Source organism: Homo sapiens, chromosome 7 (genome assembly GCF_000001405.40).
Source record: "Homo sapiens chromosome 7, GRCh38.p14 Primary Assembly".
NCBI classification, from domain to species: Eukaryota; Metazoa; Chordata; class Mammalia; order Primates; family Hominidae; genus Homo; species Homo sapiens.
In genome coordinates, this window is record NC_000007.14 from 101,124,120 (window position 1) to 101,142,975 (window position 18,856).

Genomic DNA, 18,856 nt, shown 5'->3' on the forward strand with positions numbered 1-18,856 from the left:
CTCGGCTCACTGCAACCTCCACCTCCCAGGTTCAAGCGATTCTCCTGCCTCAGCCTCCCAAGCAGCTAGGATTACAGGCACGCACCACCATGCCTAGCTGATTTTTATATTTTTAGTAGAGATGGGGTTTCATCATATTGGCCGGGCTGGTCTTGAACTCCTGGCCTCAAGTGATCCACCTGCCTTGGCCTCCCGAAGTGCTAGGATTACAGGTGTGAGCCACCATGCCCTGTCTTGGGGTACTTTTGAGGACAAGAGTTAAGTTCGGGACTGGGCATGTTGGCTTATACACTTTGGGAGGCAAAGGTGAGAGGATTGTTCCAGCCCAGGAATTTGAGACCAGCCTGGTCAACATAGCAAGACTCTGTCTCTATAAGAAAAAATAATAATTAGCTGGGCGTGGTGGTGCTTGCCTGTAGTCCCCGATACTTGCTTGAGCCCAGGAGTTCAAGTCTGCAGTGAGCTATGATCACATGACTGCACTCCAGCCTTGGTGACAGAGTGAGACCCTGTCTCCAAAAAAAAAAAAAAAAAGAGATGGGTTTGGGGCTGGACTTGTCTTCTTCCAAGAGGTCAGGGCAGTTGCTTCTTCCTCACCGCTAACCACACTCTCAGGGACTCCAAACCACAACTAAGAAAAGGAAAAAGACATAAACAAGAGGCAGTTTCACAGGAAGAGTTCTCCTAATGTGTCTGTGAGCCTAACTTTCCGACTGTGGTTCTCCTCTCTTTCCCTGCCAGCTGTGAGAAAACAAAGCCTAAGGCAGATTAAAAAGCAGGAGGGCTGCTCAGTGTGGTTGCCCTTGGTATCTGTTTACTGAAAAAATCCAAAACAAACATCCGACGCTTCCACCCACTGAAACTTCCTGTGACTCTGCTATCAGCTGTTGCCATGGATTCTCCCAACTGAACCCCACCACATACACTAAACCCAACAGTCCGTGGACCCCAAGTATGCCATCTCTCCAATACAGGACCCCCTGGGCAGCACCCTGGCCACCCTTCCATCCACAACATCCAGACCACACGGCCAAGGGCACCTGACCCTGTCAAAACCCCAAATCCAGCTGGGCGCGGTGGCTCATGCCTGTAATCCCAGCATTTGGGAGGCCGAGGCAGCCGGATCACGAAGTCAGGAGTTCGAGACCAGCCTGACCAACATGGTGAAACCCCGTCTCTACTAAAATACAAAAATTAGCCGGGCGTGGTGGTGCACACCTGTAATCCCAGCTACTCGGGAGGCTGAGGCAGGAGAACCACTTGAACCTGGGAGGCGGAGATTGCAGTGAGCCAAGATAGTGCTACTGCACTCAGCCTGGGCAACAAAATAAGACTCCGTCTCAAAACAGAAAAACAAAAAAAACAAAAAACAACAACAACAACAAAATCCACTAGTCTAGCCCTACATGCTCACCCACTGCTAGCCAGTTTCCACCCTCTACAGCAGAGGTACCCAACCTCTGGGCCAGGGGCCCGTACTGGTCCATAGCCTGTTAGGAACCAGGCTGCATAACAGGAGGTGAGTGGCAGGTGAGTGAAATTTCATCTGTAGTTACAGCCACTCCTCATCACTCGCATTACCACCAGAGCTCCACTCCCTGTCAGATCAGCGGCGGCATTAGATTCTCATAGGAGCTCGAACCCTATTCTAAACTGTTCATGTGAGGGATCTAGGTTGCAAGCTCCCTATGAGAATCTAATGCCTGATGATCTGTCACGGTCTCCCATCACCCCTAGATGGGACCATCTAGTTGCAGGAAAACAAGCTCAGGGCTCCCACTGATTCTACACGATGGTGAATTGTGGAATTATTTCATTATATATATTACAATGTAATAATAATAGAAATAAAGCACACAATAAATGTAATGTGCTTGAATCATCCCGAAACCATCCCACCCTGGTCTGTGAAAAAATTGTCTTCCATGAAACCAGTCCCTGGTGCCAAAAACGTTGAGGACCACTGCTCCACAGAATCTATCGGTCACTCTTCCTCCCCTCACCCCCTTGCCCTAAAAGCACACCCTGCAAACCTGCCATGAATTGACACTCTGTTTCTATCCCTTTTCCCCTTGTGTCTGTGTCTGGAGGAAGAGGATAAAGGACAAGCTGCCCCAAGTCCTAGCGGGCAGCTCGAAGAAGTGAAACTTACACGTTGGTCTCCTGTTTCCTTACCAAGCTTTTACCATGGTAACCCCTGGTCCCGTTCAGCCACCACCACCCCACCCAGCACACCTCCAACCTCAGCCAGACAAGGTTGTTGACACAAGAGAGCCCTCAGGGGCACAGAGAGAGTCTGGACACGTGGGGAGTCAGCCGTGTATCATCGGAGGCGGCCGGGCACATGGCAGGGATGAGGGAAAGACCAAGAGTCCTCTGTTGGGCCCAAGTCCTAGACAGACAAAACCTAGACAATCACGTGGCTGGCTGCATGCCCTGTGGCTGTTGGGCTGGGCCCAGGAGGAGGGAGGGGCGCTCTTTCCTGGAGGTGGTCCAGAGCACCGGGTGGACAGCCCTGGGGGAAAACTTCCACGTTTTGATGGAGGTTATCTTTGATAACTCCACAGTGACCTGGTTCGCCAAAGGAAAAGCAGGCAACGTGAGCTGTTTTTTTTTTCTCCAAGCTGAACACTAGGGGTCCTAGGCTTTTTGGGTCACCCGGCATGGCAGACAGTCAACCTGGCAGGACATCCGGGAGAGACAGACACAGGCAGAGGGCAGAAAGGTCAAGGGAGGTTCTCAGGCCAAGGCTATTGGGGTTTGCTCAATTGTTCCTGAATGCTCTTACACACGTACACACACAGAGCAGCACACACACACACACACACATGCCTCAGCAAGTCCCAGAGAGGGAGGTGTCGAGGGGGACCCGCTGGCTGTTCAGACGGACTCCCAGAGCCAGTGAGTGGGTGGGGCTGGAACATGAGTTCATCTATTTCCTGCCCACATCTGGTATAAAAGGAGGCAGTGGCCCACAGAGGAGCACAGCTGTGTTTGGCTGCAGGGCCAAGAGCGCTGTCAAGAAGACCCACACGCCCCCCTCCAGCAGCTGAATTCCTGCAGCTCAGCAGCCGCCGCCAGAGCAGGACGAACCGCCAATCGCAAGGCACCTCTGAGAACTTCAGGTAGGAGAAAAGCAAACTCCCTCCAACCTCTTACTTCGGGCTTAAGGCAGAGAACTCGCCTCCCCAGAATCTCCTCCCTCCATGATCCCCCGCTATTCCTCTATTTTCTTTTCCTCGGACCTGCAGCCTTGGGTCGACCCTGCCCTAGGGGTGACTGCAGGAGAGCAGGGAGGATGGTCAGGCGTCACCAACAACCCCATCACCCAGTAACAAGAACCTTGACTCTCTCAGTCCCTCTGCATCAAGACACTTACCCATTTCCCACCTCATGCCTGCTAACTTGAATGAAACAATCGCTGGGAAAGCATTAAGAGAATTAAGGCTGGGCACTGTGGCTCATGCCTGTAATCCCAGCACTTTGTGAGGCTGAGGCAGGCAGATAACTTGAGCCCAGGAGTTTGAGACCAGCCTGGGCAACATGGCAAAACCCTGCTCTCCCAAAAAAATACAAAAATTAGCTGGGCGTGCTGGTGTGCCTGTATTCCCAGCTACTTGGGAGGCTGAGGTGGGAGGATTGCTTCAGCTGGGGAGGCGGAGGCTGCAGGGAGCCAAGACTGAGCCATTGCACCCAGCCTGGGTGACAGAGCAAGACCCTGTCTCTAAAAATGAATGAAAGGAAGGAAGAAAGAGAGAGAAAGAGAGAGAGGAAAGAAGGAAGGAAGTAAAGAAGAAAGAAAGAAAGAAAGAGGAAAGAGGAAGAAAGAAAGAAAAGAAAGAAAAGAAAAGAAAGCAAATTTAAAGCTTATGCAAATCAAAGATGTTGTGATAATTGATAATTGAGTCTGGGCTAAATTCCCCCTGGGCTGCAAAGGCAGAGAGTGGTAATGACTTCTCACCTGCTTTTCTTCTAAGGCTTTTTTACGGGACACAGAGGGAAGGGAGATGGACTGGATTCCAAGATTCCCACAGGGCAAGATGGGCGAAGACTCCCTGCCACTGCCCGGGGATAAGTCAGTCTGAGTGAGACGGAGTGGGATGGGCTTAGAACCTGAACATGTCATGGTCTCTTCCTGCACCTTGCCCTAGTGTTCACTTACCACCTGCTTGCAGGAAACAAGAAGAGCAGGGCCCACAGCTGGCCAGCTCCCCTCCCCTCCCGCCTGTCTTCCAGAACGATTCCTTCACCAGCCCTCTTTCCATTGCTCTAGGATGCAGATGTCTCCAGCCCTCACCTGCCTAGTCCTGGGCCTGGCCCTTGTCTTTGGTGAAGGGTCTGCTGTGCACCATCCCCCATCCTACGTGGCCCACCTGGCCTCAGACTTCGGGGTGAGGGTGTTTCAGCAGGTGGCGCAGGCCTCCAAGGACCGCAACGTGGTTTTCTCACCCTATGGGGTGGCCTCGGTGTTGGCCATGCTCCAGCTGACAACAGGAGGAGAAACCCAGCAGCAGATTCAAGCAGCTATGGGATTCAAGATTGATGGTGAGCCACGGGACACCAGGGGAGGTGGGTGGCATGCAGAACAGACCTACCAGAAGCCAAGGAAAGGCTGGCTCTGGCTTAGCCGAGCCAAGCCCCATACAGCTGTGCTGCAGGGGCCACCCCATCTTCTTCCCACTACACTCCAAGTCACTGGACCCTTGAATCTCCAAGGGTGTCTGACCAGTAGATTTACCGCTTATTCACCACCGTGTGATCTTAACCTCGTTAAGTTTGCCCATCTACAAAATGAGGATTATTTGCTGTCCTAAAGAATTCATGAGCCGGGCGCGGTGGCTCAAACGCCTGTAATCCCAGCACTTTGGGAGGCCAAGGCGGGCGGATCATGAGGTCAGGAGATCAAGACCATCCTGGCTAACACAGTGAAACTCCATCTCTACTAAAAATACAAAAAAAATTAGCCAGGCGTGGTGGCAGGCGCCTGTAGTCCCAGCTACTCGGGAGGCTGAGGCAGGAGAATGGCATGAACCCAGGAGGCAGAGCTTGCAGTGAGCTGAGATCGTGCCACTGCACTCCAGCCTGGGCGACAGAGAGAGACTCCGTCTCAAAAAAAAAAAATAAAAGAATTCATGGAATTACACTTGTGAAATACTTAGCATAGCCATCACTATAGGAAAAAAATCTAAGGCCAGGCACAGTGCCTCATGCCTGTAATCTCAGCACTTTCGGAGTTTGAGGCAGGAGGATCACCCAAGGCTAGGAGTTCAAGGCCAGCCTGGGCAATACGGTGAAACCCCGTCTCTAATAAAAATATAAAAATTAGTCTGATGAGGTGGTGCACCTGTAATCCCAGCTACTCAGGAAGCTGAGACACAAGAATCACTTTAACCCGGGAGGTGGAGGTGGCAGTGAGCTGAGATCACACCATTGCACTCCAGCCTGGGTGACAGAGTGAGACCTGTCAAAAAAAAGAAAAGAAAGAGAGAGAGAGAGAGAAGAGAGAGAAAGAAAGAAGAAGAAAGAAAGAAAGAGAGAGAGAGAAAGAAAGAAAGAAACAAAGAAACAAAGAAAGAAAGGAAAAGAAAAAAAAAACTAAGGCCAGGCAAGGTGGCTTATGACTGTAATTTCAGCACTTTGGAAGATTGAGGCAGGAGGATCACTTGAGGCCAGAAGTTCGAGACAAGACTGAGCAACAGGGAGACCCCTGCCTCTACAAAAAAATTTACAAATTAGCCAGATGTGGTGACACATACCTGTAGTCCCAACTACTCAGGAGGCTGAGGTGGGAGGATGGCTTGAGCCCAGGAGCTGGAGGCTGCAGTGAGCTATGATTGTACCACTGCACTTCAGCCTGGGCAACAAAGGGAAGCCCTGTCTGAAAAAAAAAAAAAAAGAAAAAGAAGAAGAAAGAAAATATTTAGGGTTCATCCAGGAGGCAGAGGTTGCAGTAAGCTGACATCGCGCCATTGCACTCCAGCCTGGGAGACAAGAGCAAAACTCCAACTCAAAAAAAAAAAAAAAAAAAAAACAGGAAGAAAATATTTAGGGTTCATAATTTAAGAACAGAGAAAAATATTCTAGCCCAAAGAAAGGGTTGGGATCTGAGACTTTTGAAGAAAGGAAGGAGATACAGAAAAGAGATTTCATCCTGGAATGAAATCTCCCTCCAGAGAGCCCTGGGAAAGCACGGTAGCCCCCATCCATCAGAGTGGAGCCCCTTGTGGGGGAAGTGGGCTCGGCTGGGAACCCTCAATTCAGCATAAGCCTCACATGTCCTCTCCTCTCTGTCCCGGTGCAGACAAGGGCATGGCCCCCGCCCTCCGGCATCTGTACAAGGAGCTCATGGGGCCATGGAACAAGGATGAGATCAGCACCACAGACGCGATCTTCGTCCAGCGGGATCTGAAGCTGGTCCAGGGCTTCATGCCCCACTTCTTCAGGCTGTTCCGGAGCACGGTCAAGCAAGTGGACTTTTCAGAGGTGGAGAGAGCCAGATTCATCATCAATGACTGGGTGAAGACACACACAAAAGGTGAGCAGGCAGGGAAAGGAAACCCATTTCCTGGGCCTCAAGAGAAAGGGAATTTGGAAATAAATCCACATATCCCAGTTGGGTGCAGTAGTTCACACCTGTAATCCCAGCCCAACACTTTGGGAGGTCTAGGCGAGAGGAAGGCTTGAGGCCTGGAGTTTGAGACCAGCCTGGCCAACATAACAAGACCTCATCTCTTCAAAAAATTTAAAAACCAGCCGGGCATGGTGGTGCACACCTGTAGTCCCAGCTACTTGGGAGGCTGAGGTGGGAGGATCACTTGAGTCCAGCAGTTCAAGGCTGCAGTGAGCTATGTTTGCACCACCACACTCCAGCCTGGGTCACAGAACAAGACCTCATCTCTAAAAAACAAACAAAAACCAAATCCACATATCCTAAAAAATGCTCCTTTTCAGCATTCTCTTCTCTATGGACAAAGGGCTGGATGCTTTAAGAACCAAATCTTAGGCTGGGCACGGTGGCTCACGCCTCTAATCCTAGCACTTTGAGAGGCCAAGGCGGGCAGATTGCCTGAGCACAGGAGTTCGAGACCAGCCTGGCCAACATGGTGAAACCCTGTCTCTGTCAAAAATACAAAAAATTAGCCAGGTGTGTTGGCGCATGCCTATAATCCCAGCTGCTCGGGAGGATGAGGTTCAAAGAATCACTTGAACCCGGGAGGCAGAGGCTGCAGTGAGCTGAGATCATGCCACTGCACTCCAGCCTGGGTGACAGAGCAAGACTTTGTCTCCAAAAAAAGGAACTAGACGGGTTCATTTAAACCCCTGACTGCAGCCCTTTGACATACATCCAATTGAGGACTGGGGACTCCGGGAAACATCTAAAAGGCTTAAAAACTTTGTCTAACTTCAGCCGGGCATGGTGGCTCACACCTGTAATCCCAGCACTTTGGGAGGCTAAGGCAGGTGGATCAAAAGGTCAGGAGTTTGAGACGAGCCTGACCAACATGGTGAAACCCCGTCTCTACTAAAAATACAAAAATTAGCCAGGCATGGTGGCAGGCGCCTGTAATCCCAGCTATTCGGGAGGCTGAGGCAGGAGAATTGCTTGAACCCCGGAGACAGAGGTTGCAGCGAGCCGAGATCGCGCCACTGCACTCCAGCCTGGCAATAGAGTGAGACTCCATCTCAAAACAACAACAACAACAACAACAAAATCGTCTAACTTCCTGATCTTCCTGATCATTGATTTTCCCATAGGTATGATCAGCAACTTGCTTGGGAAAGGAGCCGTGGACCAGCTGACACGGCTGGTGCTGGTGAATGCCCTCTACTTCAACGGCCAGTGGAAGACTCCCTTCCCCGACTCCAGCACCCACCGCCGCCTCTTCCACAAATCAGACGGCAGCACTGTCTCTGTGCCCATGATGGCTCAGACCAACAAGTTCAACTATAGTAAGTCCAAGAGCCCCTTCCCCACAGCCCACAGCAACTGCATCTCATTCCTGGGGTCTCCCAAGGAATACCCAAAATGTCACCCTCTGAGGGAGGAAGACCACAGGGAATGCTCCCCTTTAAGGGAGGAGAGACCCTAGAATATACTCCAGCTTTGACAAAGATTTCCCAAGCAGGAGACATCAGGATAATGGGAACAGAAGACAGGAGGTTTATCCCATGAAGGATGAAGAAGCTGAAATCCAGAGATTCCCTCAGGGCCACATTTGTCCACCTGACTCCAGGGTCTCATCTTCGTGTGTTGCTAGTGTGATTACCTGGGGATGAGAAATCCTGCTGGGGGAGTTGAGGTTAAGAGGATGAGGACTCCAGGTGCTGTGGCTCACGCCTGTAATCCCAGCACTTTGGGAGGCCAAGGCAGGTGGATCAGGAGTTTGAGGTCAGGAGTTTGAGACCAGCCTGGCCAACATGGTGAAACCCTGTCTCTACTAAAAATGCAAAAATTAGCCAGGTGTGGTGGCAGGCGCCTGTAATCCCAGCTACTCGGGAGGCTGAGGCAGGAGAATCACTTGAGCCCGGGAGGTGGAGGTTGCAGTGAGCCGAACGAAATTGAGCCACTTCACCCCAGCCTGGGCAAAAGAGTGAAATTCCATTCAAAAAAAAAAAAAAAAAAAAAAGGATGAGGACTGGGATGAACTGGTGGCTGGGTGTGGGGAAAATGGAAGTGAAGGAAGGCCAAAAGAGACAGAGAAGGCCTGGCGCGGCGACTCACGCCTATAATCCCAGCACTTTGGGAGGCTGAGAAGGGGGATTGCTTGAGGCCAGAAGTTGAATACCAGTCTGGGCAGCATAGCAAGACCCTGCCTCTACAAAAAAAAAATTTTTTTTAATTAGCCAGGCTTGGTGACATGCATCTGTAGTCTACTCAAGAAGCTGAGGTGAGGCCAGGCACGGTGGCTCACGCCTGTATTCCCAGCACTTTGGGAGGTCAAGGCGGGTGGATGACCTGAGGTCAGGAGTTCAAGACCAGCCTGGCCAACATGGTGAAACCCCATCTGTATAAAAATACAAAAATTAGCTGGGCATGATAGCAGGTGCCTGTAATTCCAGCTACTCAGGAGGCTGAGGTGGGAGAATCTATTGAACCCGGGAGGGGGAGGTTGCAGTGAGCCGAGATCATGCCATTGCACTCCAGCCTGGGCGACAGAGTGAGACTCCTTCTCAAAACAAACAAACAAACAAACAAACAAAATACAGAAGCTGAGGCGGGAGGAACATTTGAACCGGATTCGGAGGCTGCAGTGAGCTATGATTGCACCACTGCGCTCCAGTCTGTGTGACAGTGAGACCCTGTCTCTTACACACACACACACACACACACACATGCACACACACAGAGAGAGAGAAATTAGAAGATACTGAATTGGCAGAAGAGAAGGGAAATAGAAATTAAAATACTGAATAGGGGAGCAGTGAACAGGGGATACCCAAAAGCCAAGAGCGAGAGAGAGCCTGGCTTCCAGAAATAGTGGAGAAGCCAGGAGAACTAGGTGAAAACCCAGTGCTGGGTTGCCATCAGCGAGAGCTGGAGCCATTTCCAACGAACCATCTTGTCGTCTTCACAGCTGAGTTCACCACGCCCGATGGCCATTACTACGACATCCTGGAACTGCCCTACCACGGGGACACCCTCAGCATGTTCATTGCTGCCCCTTATGAAAAAGAGGTGCCTCTCTCTGCCCTCACCAACATTCTGAGTGCCCAGCTCATCAGCCACTGGAAAGGCAACATGACCAGGCTGCCCCGCCTCCTGGTTCTGCCCAAGTAAGCCACCCCGCTATCTCCCCGACCTACCAACCCCTCTCTCCTGGCTCCCTAAAGTCACCGCCCCCAGGTTGAATTTCCCAGATCTGTGATGCTTGCAGGACATGCATGTGTGGGAGGCTGATGGGAAACTGTGGCCTGGGTTTGATTATGAGTCTTGCAATCATCCCTCCCCCTGTTTCTGCTGGAGGGCAGGGGACAGCTCTTCCTGACCACACCCCCACATTGACTATCCCCAGAATACCCAGCAAAAGCCCCCAAAAGGAGAGTCAGAGAAATGAGGGAGGTGGGGGCCCAATCAGTCCACATCTACTTAGGGTCGCCCCATCAGCACTTCCATCCCCAACCCTTTCAAGTCAACATCCAAACAAAAGAAATCACTTCCAAGGACGGAGCAGCTCAAAGCGCAGCTTCTAGCTGGGGTTCCAAGAAAGCAGATTTTTCGAAATCCTTCTGCAGAAGGAAGCAAAGAGATTTTTTGAAATCTTTCTGCAGAAGGAGAAGGCTGGAGCTGGGGAACTCCAGAATTATAGGGAAGCCTCCCACCACGCTCATCCCAAATTTCCGGATGCTATAATGCCAGGCTTGGGGAAAGAGGAGAATTTAGTTGGTTAGCTGGTGCGTGCTCTCACTTGCATCCTCTCTCTTCCTCTTTTTTTTTTTTCTCCTCTCTCTCTGGCTCATAAAAATGGAGGTAATTAGTTGTGCCCTGGTGAGAAGCAGAGAGTGCACAAAGGCCCCCTGCTTGAGTCCTCTTCAGGGTTAGCTCTCAGAAACACAATCTGCAGAACAGATTTTTGTTCCAACATCCTTGCAGGAGAATTTGCCCTTAGCTTCCCCCACCCCAGCCAGGCTGAATAAAATTATGCTGAAACTACTGTCTTATTTGAGGAAAGTAATTAGTCATAGGTGGGAGGGGGTGGGGAGATTGCAGAAGAATGTTCATGAATATTAGGATTTTCAGCTCTAAGGGGGGACTTTGTAAACAGCTTTAGAAGAAGAACCAGGCCGGCTGGGTGTGGTGGCTCATGCCTGTAATCTCAGCATTTGGGGAGGCCAAGGCGGGCGGATCACTTGAGGTCAGGAGTTTGAGACCAGCCTGGCCAACATGGTGAAACCCTGTCTCTATTAAAAATACAAAAATTAGCCAGCCGTGGTAGCGAGCGCCTATGATCCCAGCTACTCCGGAGGCTGAGGCCAGAGAATCACATGAACCTGGGAGGTGGAGGCTGCAGTGAGCCGAGATCACGCCACTGCACTCCAGCCTGGGGGACAGAGCAAGAATCTGTTTCAAAAAAAAAAAAAGAAAAATAGGAAGGAAGGAAGGAAAGGAAAGGAAAGAAGAGAGAGAGAAAGAAAGAGAGAGAGAGAAAGAAAGAAAGAAAGAAAGAAAGAAAGAAAGAAAGAAAGAAAGAAAGAAAGAAAGAAAGAAAAAGAAAGGAAAGAAAGAACGAACGAACCAGGCCTCCCTCTCCAACCTTCACCTCCGTCCCTATTCTGGCCACTTGATTCGGGGGACACCTGGTAGGGGATGGGGAAAGGTGGGAGCTGCCAGCCAGAGGGGACCCCGGCTTGAGCAGCCTCTTGCTGCTATCTGCAGGTTCTCCCTGGAGACTGAAGTCGACCTCAGGAAGCCCCTAGAGAACCTGGGAATGACCGACATGTTCAGACAGTTTCAGGCTGACTTCACGAGTCTTTCAGGTAAGAAGACTTTCCTTTGCATTTTCTCACCCCAGTGGACTGCGGGGGCCCCTAAGAGGAAAAAGGAACCTCTCCTTGAGAGCGGCAGCTGATCTAATCCTGTATCCACATCTGTTTCAGACCAAGAGCCTCTCCACGTCGCGCAGGCGCTGCAGAAAGTGAAGATCGAGGTGAACGAGAGTGGCACGGTGGCCTCCTCATCCACAGGTGAGTCTGGCTCAGGTGAGGCTCCACGGGTGTCGCCTCCATCGCCCTTCAGGATAACTGGTCCCCAGACCCGGAAAGGACCCCGCAGCCCTCTCGGCACAGAGCAGCTCTGTCTGTGCTCAGCCATCACCCACTCCCCACCTGTTTCTCAGCCTGGAAAACGGGCTTGGGACCATGGAACCCTGTTTCCTCGCCTGATGGCTCCTAAGTTCCCTGACTGTGAAAAGGCCTCCTAAAGAAAAACCCAAGTTGTTCCCACAGTGGGAAGTAAACTTAAGAAACATGCTTATCAGGCTGGGCATGGTGGCTCCCACCTGTAATCCCAGCGCTTTGGGGGACCAAGGCAGGTGGATCACTTGAGGTCAGGAATTCGAGACCAGCCTGGGCAACATGGCAAAACCCTATCTCTACTAAAAATACAAAAATTAGGCAGGCGTGGTGGCATGTGCCTGTAGTCCCAGCTACTTGGGAGGCTGAGGCAGGAGAATCACTTGAATCCAGGAGGCAGAGGTTGCAGTGAGCCGAGATCACGCTGCTGCACTCCAGCCTGGGCAATAGAGCATGACTCTGAAGAAAAGAAAGAAAGAAAGAGAGAGAGAGAGAAAAGAAAGAAAGAAAGAAAGAAAGAAAGAAAGAAAGAAAGAAAGAAAGAAAGAAAGAAAGAGAAAGAAAGAGAAGAAAAGAAAAGAAAGAGCTTATCAATAAGCCCTTAAAGGATTTAGATAAATGTGTGTAAGGGAAGAGCTGATCCATTGCTACCAAGCTCCTGGAGGAAACCAGGTCTCAGAGGATGTCCCTAAACTTTTAAGGTTCATATTCAGGAAAACAAACAACTTCCAGCTGGGCTTAGTGGCTCACACCTGTAATCCCAGCACTTTGGGAGGCCGAGGCAGGAGGATCGCTTGAGCCCAGGAATTTGAGACCAGCCTGGGCAATATAATGAGACTGTGTCTCTACAAAAATTAGAAAAAAATTAGCCAGGCATGGTGGCATGCACCTGTAGCCCCAGTTACTTGGGAGACTGAGGTGGGAGGATCACTTGAGCCCATGAGTTCAAGGCTGCAGTGAGCCATGAAGGTGCCACTGCACTCCCACCTGGGCGACAGAGGGAGACCCTGTCTCTAAGAAAAACGGCGGGGGTGGGGGTGGTGCCAGTGCCAGCATCCCTCTGTTCTAAGACATTGTCCCTTCTCTTGCAGCTGTCATAGTCTCAGCCCGCATGGCCCCCGAGGAGATCATCATGGACAGACCCTTCCTCTTTGTGGTCCGGCACAACCCCACAGGTGAGCCTGGAACCCATCACGTTCCACATCCTCCCACCCATTCTTTCTCTCAGGAACTAGTCCCGACAGATGCAGACATCCCTCTATCCCTGAGAGGGCTCTGGGCAGGGAACCCATAACCCTACCCTGCTTCCTGTCCCAAGAGGAGGCTACCTTCTATCACCCACAGACAGTGCCGGGTCCCCGCTCTGTGACTCAGGCAGCTGCGACTCCAGACAGCTCACTCATCTGCCTAGATCTCAGTCCTTCCACCCACATCCAGCCTGATGAGCTGTCCCACTCCTTCTGCTTCTCAACCCCCATGGTTCTTCCACCCTCAGGAACAGTCCTTTTCATGGGCCAAGTGATGGAACCCTGACCCTGGGGAAAGACGCCTTCATCTGGGACAAAACTGGAGATGCATCGGGAAAGAAGAAACTCCGAAGAAAAGAATTTTAGTGTTAATGACTCTTTCTGAAGGAAGAGAAGACATTTGCCTTTTGTTAAAAGATGGTAAACCAGATCTGTCTCCAAGACCTTGGCCTCTCCTTGGAGGACCTTTAGGTCAAACTCCCTAGTCTCCACCTGAGACCCTGGGAGAGAAGTTTGAAGCACAACTCCCTTAAGGTCTCCAAACCAGACGGTGACGCCTGCGGGACCATCTGGGGCACCTGCTTCCACCCGTCTCTCTGCCCACTCGGGTCTGCAGACCTGGTTCCCACTGAGGCCCTTTGCAGGATGGAACTACGGGGCTTACAGGAGCTTTTGTGTGCCTGGTAGAAACTATTTCTGTTCCAGTCACATTGCCATCACTCTTGTACTGCCTGCCACCGCGGAGGAGGCTGGTGACAGGCCAAAGGCCAGTGGAAGAAACACCCTTTCATCTCAGAGTCCACTGTGGCACTGGCCACCCCTCCCCAGTACAGGGGTGCTGCAGGTGGCAGAGTGAATGTCCCCCATCATGTGGCCCAACTCTCCTGGCCTGGCCATCTCCCTCCCCAGAAACAGTGTGCATGGGTTATTTTGGAGTGTAGGTGACTTGTTTACTCATTGAAGCAGATTTCTGCTTCCTTTTATTTTTATAGGAATAGAGGAAGAAATGTCAGATGCGTGCCCAGCTCTTCACCCCCCAATCTCTTGGTGGGGAGGGGTGTACCTAAATATTTATCATATCCTTGCCCTTGAGTGCTTGTTAGAGAGAAAGAGAACTACTAAGGAAAATAATATTATTTAAACTCGCTCCTAGTGTTTCTTTGTGGTCTGTGTCACCGTATCTCAGGAAGTCCAGCCACTTGACTGGCACACACCCCTCCGGACATCCAGCGTGACGGAGCCCACACTGCCACCTTGTGGCCGCCTGAGACCCTCGCGCCCCCCGCGCCCCTCTTTTTCCCCTTGATGGAAATTGACCATACAATTTCATCCTCCTTCAGGGGATCAAAAGGACGGAGTGGGGGGACAGAGACTCAGATGAGGACAGAGTGGTTTCCAATGTGTTCAATAGATTTAGGAGCAGAAATGCAAGGGGCTGCATGACCTACCAGGACAGAACTTTCCCCAATTACAGGGTGACTCACAGCCGCATTGGTGACTCACTTCAATGTGTCATTTCCGGCTGCTGTGTGTGAGCAGTGGACACGTGAGGGGGGGGTGGGTGAGAGAGACAGGCAGCTCGGATTCAACTACCTTAGATAATATTTCTGAAAACCTACCAGCCAGAGGGTAGGGCACAAAGATGGATGTAATGCACTTTGGGAGGCCAAGGCGGGAGGATTGCTTGAGCCCAGGAGTTCAAGACCAGCCTGGGCAACATACCAAGACCCCCGTCTCTTTAAAAATATATATATTTTAAATATACTTAAATATATATTTCTAATATCTTTAAATATATATATATATTTTAAAGACCAATTTATGGGAGAATTGCACACAGATGTGAAATGAATGTAATCTAATAGAAGCCTAATCAGCCCACCATGTTCTCCACTGAAAAATCCTCTTTCTTTGGGGTTTTTCTTTCTTTCTTTTTTGATTTTGCACTGGACGGTGACGTCAGCCATGTACAGGATCCACAGGGGTGGTGTCAAATGCTATTGAAATTGTGTTGAATTGTATGCTTTTTCACTTTTGATAAATAAACATGTAAAAATGTTTCAAAAAAATAATAAAATAAATAAATACGAAGAATATGTCAGGACAGTCACTGCCTTCACCTTCTCCATTTCACACCGGTGGTACAAGAAATCAGAAGCCTAGGCCAGGTGTGGTGGTTCATGCCTGTAATCCCAGCACTTTGGGAAGCCGAGGTGGGTGGATCACCTAAGGTCAGGAGTTTGAGACCAGCCTGGACAACATGGTGAAACCCCGTCTCTACTAAAAATACAAAAATTAGCCGGGCGTGGTGGCTGGCGCCTGTAATCCCAGCTACTCGGGAGGCTGAGGCAGGAGAATCACTTGAAGCCAGGAGGCAGAGGTTGCAGTGAGCTGAGATTGCATCACTGAACTCCAGGCTGGGTGGCAGAGCGAGACTCCCTCTCAAAAAACAACAACTACAAAGACAACAACAAACCCAGAATCAAAATCCTGTTGGTCCATAGACCTCATGGGTGGAAGAGACCTTCCTACATCCAGGTTGGCCCAACATGGGGGAGTCCATGAAATGGTCACCTCAGCTCTGCCACAAGCCCCAAGGATAAGTTGATTCTGCCCCTGGGAATCATCCTCAAAAAGGAAAAAAATGTTCCCCTGCCATAAACTTTCCACTTATGCAGATGGGCCTGCTCGTAAGTCACTGTCACTGTGGGTTCCCAACTCTGTTCATGACACTTCCTTCCAGCACCAAATGCTTCCCACCCCTCTACTCCCACTCCCCATTCTTCAAACCCAGCTCAAGTTCCAGTTCCTCCACCTAGGACTTCCCATGGATCCAGCCAATATCACTCTCAGGTCCGGCGCAGTGGCCCACGCCTGTAATCTCAGCACTTTGGGAGGCCGGGGCAGGAAGATTGCTTGAGGCCAGGAGTTTCAGACCAGCCTGGACAACATAGTGAGACTCTTCCTCTAAGAAAAGAAAGAGAGAAAGAGAGAGAGAAAGACAGAGGAAAGAGAGAGAAAAATAAAGAAAGAGAGAAAGAAAGAAAGAAAAAGAAAAAGAAAGAAAGAACGAAAGAAAGAAAGAAAGAAAGAAAGAAAGAAAGAAAGAAAGAAAGAAAGAAAGAAAGAAAGAAAGAAAGAAAGAAAAAGAAAGGAAGGAAGGAAGGAAAGGAGGGAGGGAGGGAGGGAAGGAAGGAAGGAAGGAAGGAAGGGGATCAAAACATCATCACTCTCAACTCGACACTGACTGAGTTTTCTTCTCCCTGGTCTGTAACAGTGCTTGGATTCTCGAGTGTTCCTTAGCTTTGTGTGTGTGTGTCTTACCCTCCCCAAGCCCATCAAGGTATCAGGTTTCTTGAAAACAAGGCTCTCTTGTTATATATACTCTAGCATCTTCTTGAAAATGGCTTCCTGAAAAGTCTTTTATTATCTTTCTCCAGCATCTCGAAGGCTTTTGGCAGAGGGCACACTTCCCTCCATTAGTTTCTGTTCAAATATTCAAAAATAATTTTTTAAACTGAAAAAAGACCAATAACCATCTGTTGAACTTGTATACTGTCTAACTCCAGAACCCTGAAGATAGGATTCAGAGATGCAGCCCCCTGAACACCCAGCTCATTTCTATTGCTTTTTAAACAATTTTTTGTAGAGACGGGGTTGCACCATGTTTTGAACTTTTGGGCTCAAACAATCCTCCTGCCTCGGCCTCCCAAATTGCTGGGATTACAGTTGTGAGCCACCATGCCCAGCTTGGCTCAGGTGTACCTTTCAACCTCCTTATACCCTGAAAGTATGACTAATTCCAGGCCCCAGGCTAGTGGCTGAAAAGTTACCTGTCTCTAACAGATTTGCTTGGAAAGCTAAACAGCCTCTTTTTGCACAAAATGCTTCAAAAAGCAGAACAAATTAGCCCTAACTCTGCAGTATACAGTTCAAAAACTGCTCATCCATGCTGAGATGGCTCTAGAGGAAAAAGAGTTCTTCAAAAAGCCCCCTCACCACAGAGGAGGCTTGTTCCAGGAAATGCCCCATTTAACAGACTCTCAGCTATTGTGAGGACAAAAATGATGTAGACTCACAGCACGAGACCTGCCCAGCCCTGTTTGACTTTGCCTGGCCCTGTCCCTTGCCTGTTCTAAGTTTGTCTTCCCTTCTCTATTTTTTTTTTTCTTTTAAGACAGGGTCTCGCTTTGTTGCTGAGGCAAAAGTGCAGTGGCACAATCTTAGCTTATTACAGCCTCCATCTCCTGGGCCCAAAGCCATCCTCGCACCTCAGCCTCCCGAGTAGCTGGGACCACAGGTGTGCGCCGCCAAGCCCTGCTAATATTTGCATTTTTTGGAGAGATGGTGTCTCACTATATTGCCCAGGCTGGTCTCGAATTCCTAGGCTCAAGCAATCCACCTGTCTCGGCCTCCCAAAGTACTGTGATCACAAAGTGCTGGGCCACCATGCCTGGCCCGCTGTTCTTTAGGGATGAAAAATTAACAAGATCTGCCTCCAGCTACCGTTATTGTACATTTCTTGTAAACCTCAAACAGTGGAATTATTTATCTGCTCATCTGTGGGCAAAGAGTATGAATGTTGTAAATCCCTTAATGGTAAAAATATTCAGTCAAAAGCAAATTTGTCAAGGAGACACCATCTTTTTTTGAAATCATTTTTTTAGGTGGTTTCTCAAGTAAGCTTTGTTGAAATAATAGTAGCAAGCGGCTGGGCGTGGTGGCTCAGGCCTGTAATCCCAGCACTTTAGGAGGCCAAGGTGGGCGGATCACCTGAGGTCAGGAGTTTGAGACCAGCCTGGCCAACAAGGTGAAACCCTGTCTCTACTAAAAATACAAAAATTAGGCCGGGTGTGGTGGCTCACACCTGTAATCCCAGCACTTTGGGAGGCCAAGGCGGGTGGATCACGAGGTCAGGAGTTCAAGACCAGCCTGGCCAGGTTGGTGAAACCCCGTCTCCACTAAAAACACACAAAAAATTAACGAGGCGCAGTGGCGGGTGCCTGTAGTCCCAGCTACTCAGGAGGCTGAGGCAGGAGAATGGCGTGAAACCAGGAGGCAGAGCTTGCAACGAGCCGAGATCACGCCACTGGACTCCAGCCTGGGCAACAGAGTGAGACTCCGTCTCAAAAAAAAAAAAAAAAAAAAAAGTAGCAAGCACTCAGGAAAACTGAGACACAGAGAGGTTGAGTAACTTGATCTCATTATTATCATTATTTTAGAGAGGGGGTCTCTGTTGTTTAGGCTGGAGTGCAGTGGTGCAATCACAGCTCACTGCAGCCTTGAACTGCTGGGCTCAAACAATCCTGTCTCAGCCTCCCAAGCAGCTGGGACTACAGGTGCGCACCACTCACTACCCAGCTAATTCGTTTTCTTTCTTTTTTTTTTTTTTTTAAAAAAAAGTCTCGCTCTGTCACCCATGCTGGAATGCAATGGCTTGATCTCTCTGCTCACTACAACCTCCGCCTCCCGGGTTCAAGAGATTCTCCTTTCTCAGCCTCCTGAGTAGCTGGGATTACAGGCATGTGCCACCATGCCCGGTTAATTTTTGTATTTTTAGTAGAGATAGGGTTTTGCCATGTTGGCCAGGCTGGTCTCGAGCTTCTGACCTCAGGTAATCCACCTGCCTCAGCCTCCCAAAGTGCTGAGATTACAGGTGTGAGCCACTGCACCTGGCCCCAGCTAATTTTTTAATTGTATTTTTTGTAGACACAGGGTCTCACTATGTTGTCCAAGCTGGTCTCGAACTCCTGGGCTCAGCCTCCCAAAGTGCTGGGATTACAGGCGTGAGCCACTGCACCCGGCCCCAGCTAATTTTT

The 18,856-nt window shown here is 50.0% G+C and overlaps 1 protein-coding gene across 12 annotated transcripts, besides 5 other annotated features; it reads left to right on the plus strand.

Annotated features, from left to right (window-relative positions):
- Positions 1,861–2,640: an enhancer, noted in NCBI's record as "H3K27ac-H3K4me1 hESC enhancer chr7:100769261-100770040 (GRCh37/hg19 assembly coordinates)". NCBI's record gives its function as "activates a minimal SCP1, AML or CMV promoter by ChIP-STARR-seq in naive H9 embryonic stem cells {active_cell/tissue: H9 hESC(naive)}" and the evidence as "EXISTENCE:reporter gene assay evidence [ECO:0000049][PMID:30033119]".
- On the plus strand, positions 2,985–15,128 carry SERPINE1 (serpin family E member 1). Of its 12 annotated transcripts, NM_001386459.1 has the most exons (10): positions 2,985–3,125; positions 4,274–4,545; positions 6,302–6,535; positions 7,756–7,950; positions 9,576–9,774; positions 11,375–11,475; positions 11,596–11,682; positions 12,882–12,965; positions 13,286–13,308; positions 13,889–15,128. In NM_001386459.1, the coding sequence occupies exons 2-10, from the start codon at positions 4,275–4,277 to the stop codon at positions 13,976–13,978; spliced, it is 1,284 nt and encodes a 427-aa protein (NP_001373388.1). In that variant the 5' UTR covers positions 2,985–3,125; position 4,274; the 3' UTR covers positions 13,979–15,128. The 12 variants fall into 12 exon arrangements, with proteins under 12 accessions (NP_001373388.1, NP_001373395.1, NP_001373394.1 ...); NM_001386466.1 differs by having other exon boundaries at positions 4,274–4,569; positions 13,286–15,128; NM_001386465.1 differs by having other exon boundaries at positions 11,596–11,697; positions 13,286–15,128.
- Positions 3,421–4,200: an enhancer, noted in NCBI's record as "H3K4me1 hESC enhancer chr7:100770821-100771600 (GRCh37/hg19 assembly coordinates)". NCBI's record gives its function as "activates a minimal SCP1, AML or CMV promoter by ChIP-STARR-seq in naive H9 embryonic stem cells {active_cell/tissue: H9 hESC(naive)}" and the evidence as "EXISTENCE:reporter gene assay evidence [ECO:0000049][PMID:30033119]".
- Positions 4,201–4,980: an enhancer, noted in NCBI's record as "H3K4me1 hESC enhancer chr7:100771601-100772380 (GRCh37/hg19 assembly coordinates)". NCBI's record gives its function as "activates a minimal SCP1, AML or CMV promoter by ChIP-STARR-seq in primed H9 embryonic stem cells {active_cell/tissue: H9 hESC(primed)}" and the evidence as "EXISTENCE:reporter gene assay evidence [ECO:0000049][PMID:30033119]".
- Positions 11,203–11,704: an enhancer, noted in NCBI's record as "H3K4me1 hESC enhancer chr7:100778603-100779104 (GRCh37/hg19 assembly coordinates)". NCBI's record gives its function as "activates a minimal SCP1, AML or CMV promoter by ChIP-STARR-seq in naive and primed H9 embryonic stem cells {active_cell/tissue: H9 hESC(naive and primed)}" and the evidence as "EXISTENCE:reporter gene assay evidence [ECO:0000049][PMID:30033119]".
- Positions 13,993–14,768: an enhancer, noted in NCBI's record as "H3K27ac-H3K4me1 hESC enhancer chr7:100781393-100782168 (GRCh37/hg19 assembly coordinates)". NCBI's record gives its function as "activates a minimal SCP1, AML or CMV promoter by ChIP-STARR-seq in naive H9 embryonic stem cells {active_cell/tissue: H9 hESC(naive)}" and the evidence as "EXISTENCE:reporter gene assay evidence [ECO:0000049][PMID:30033119]".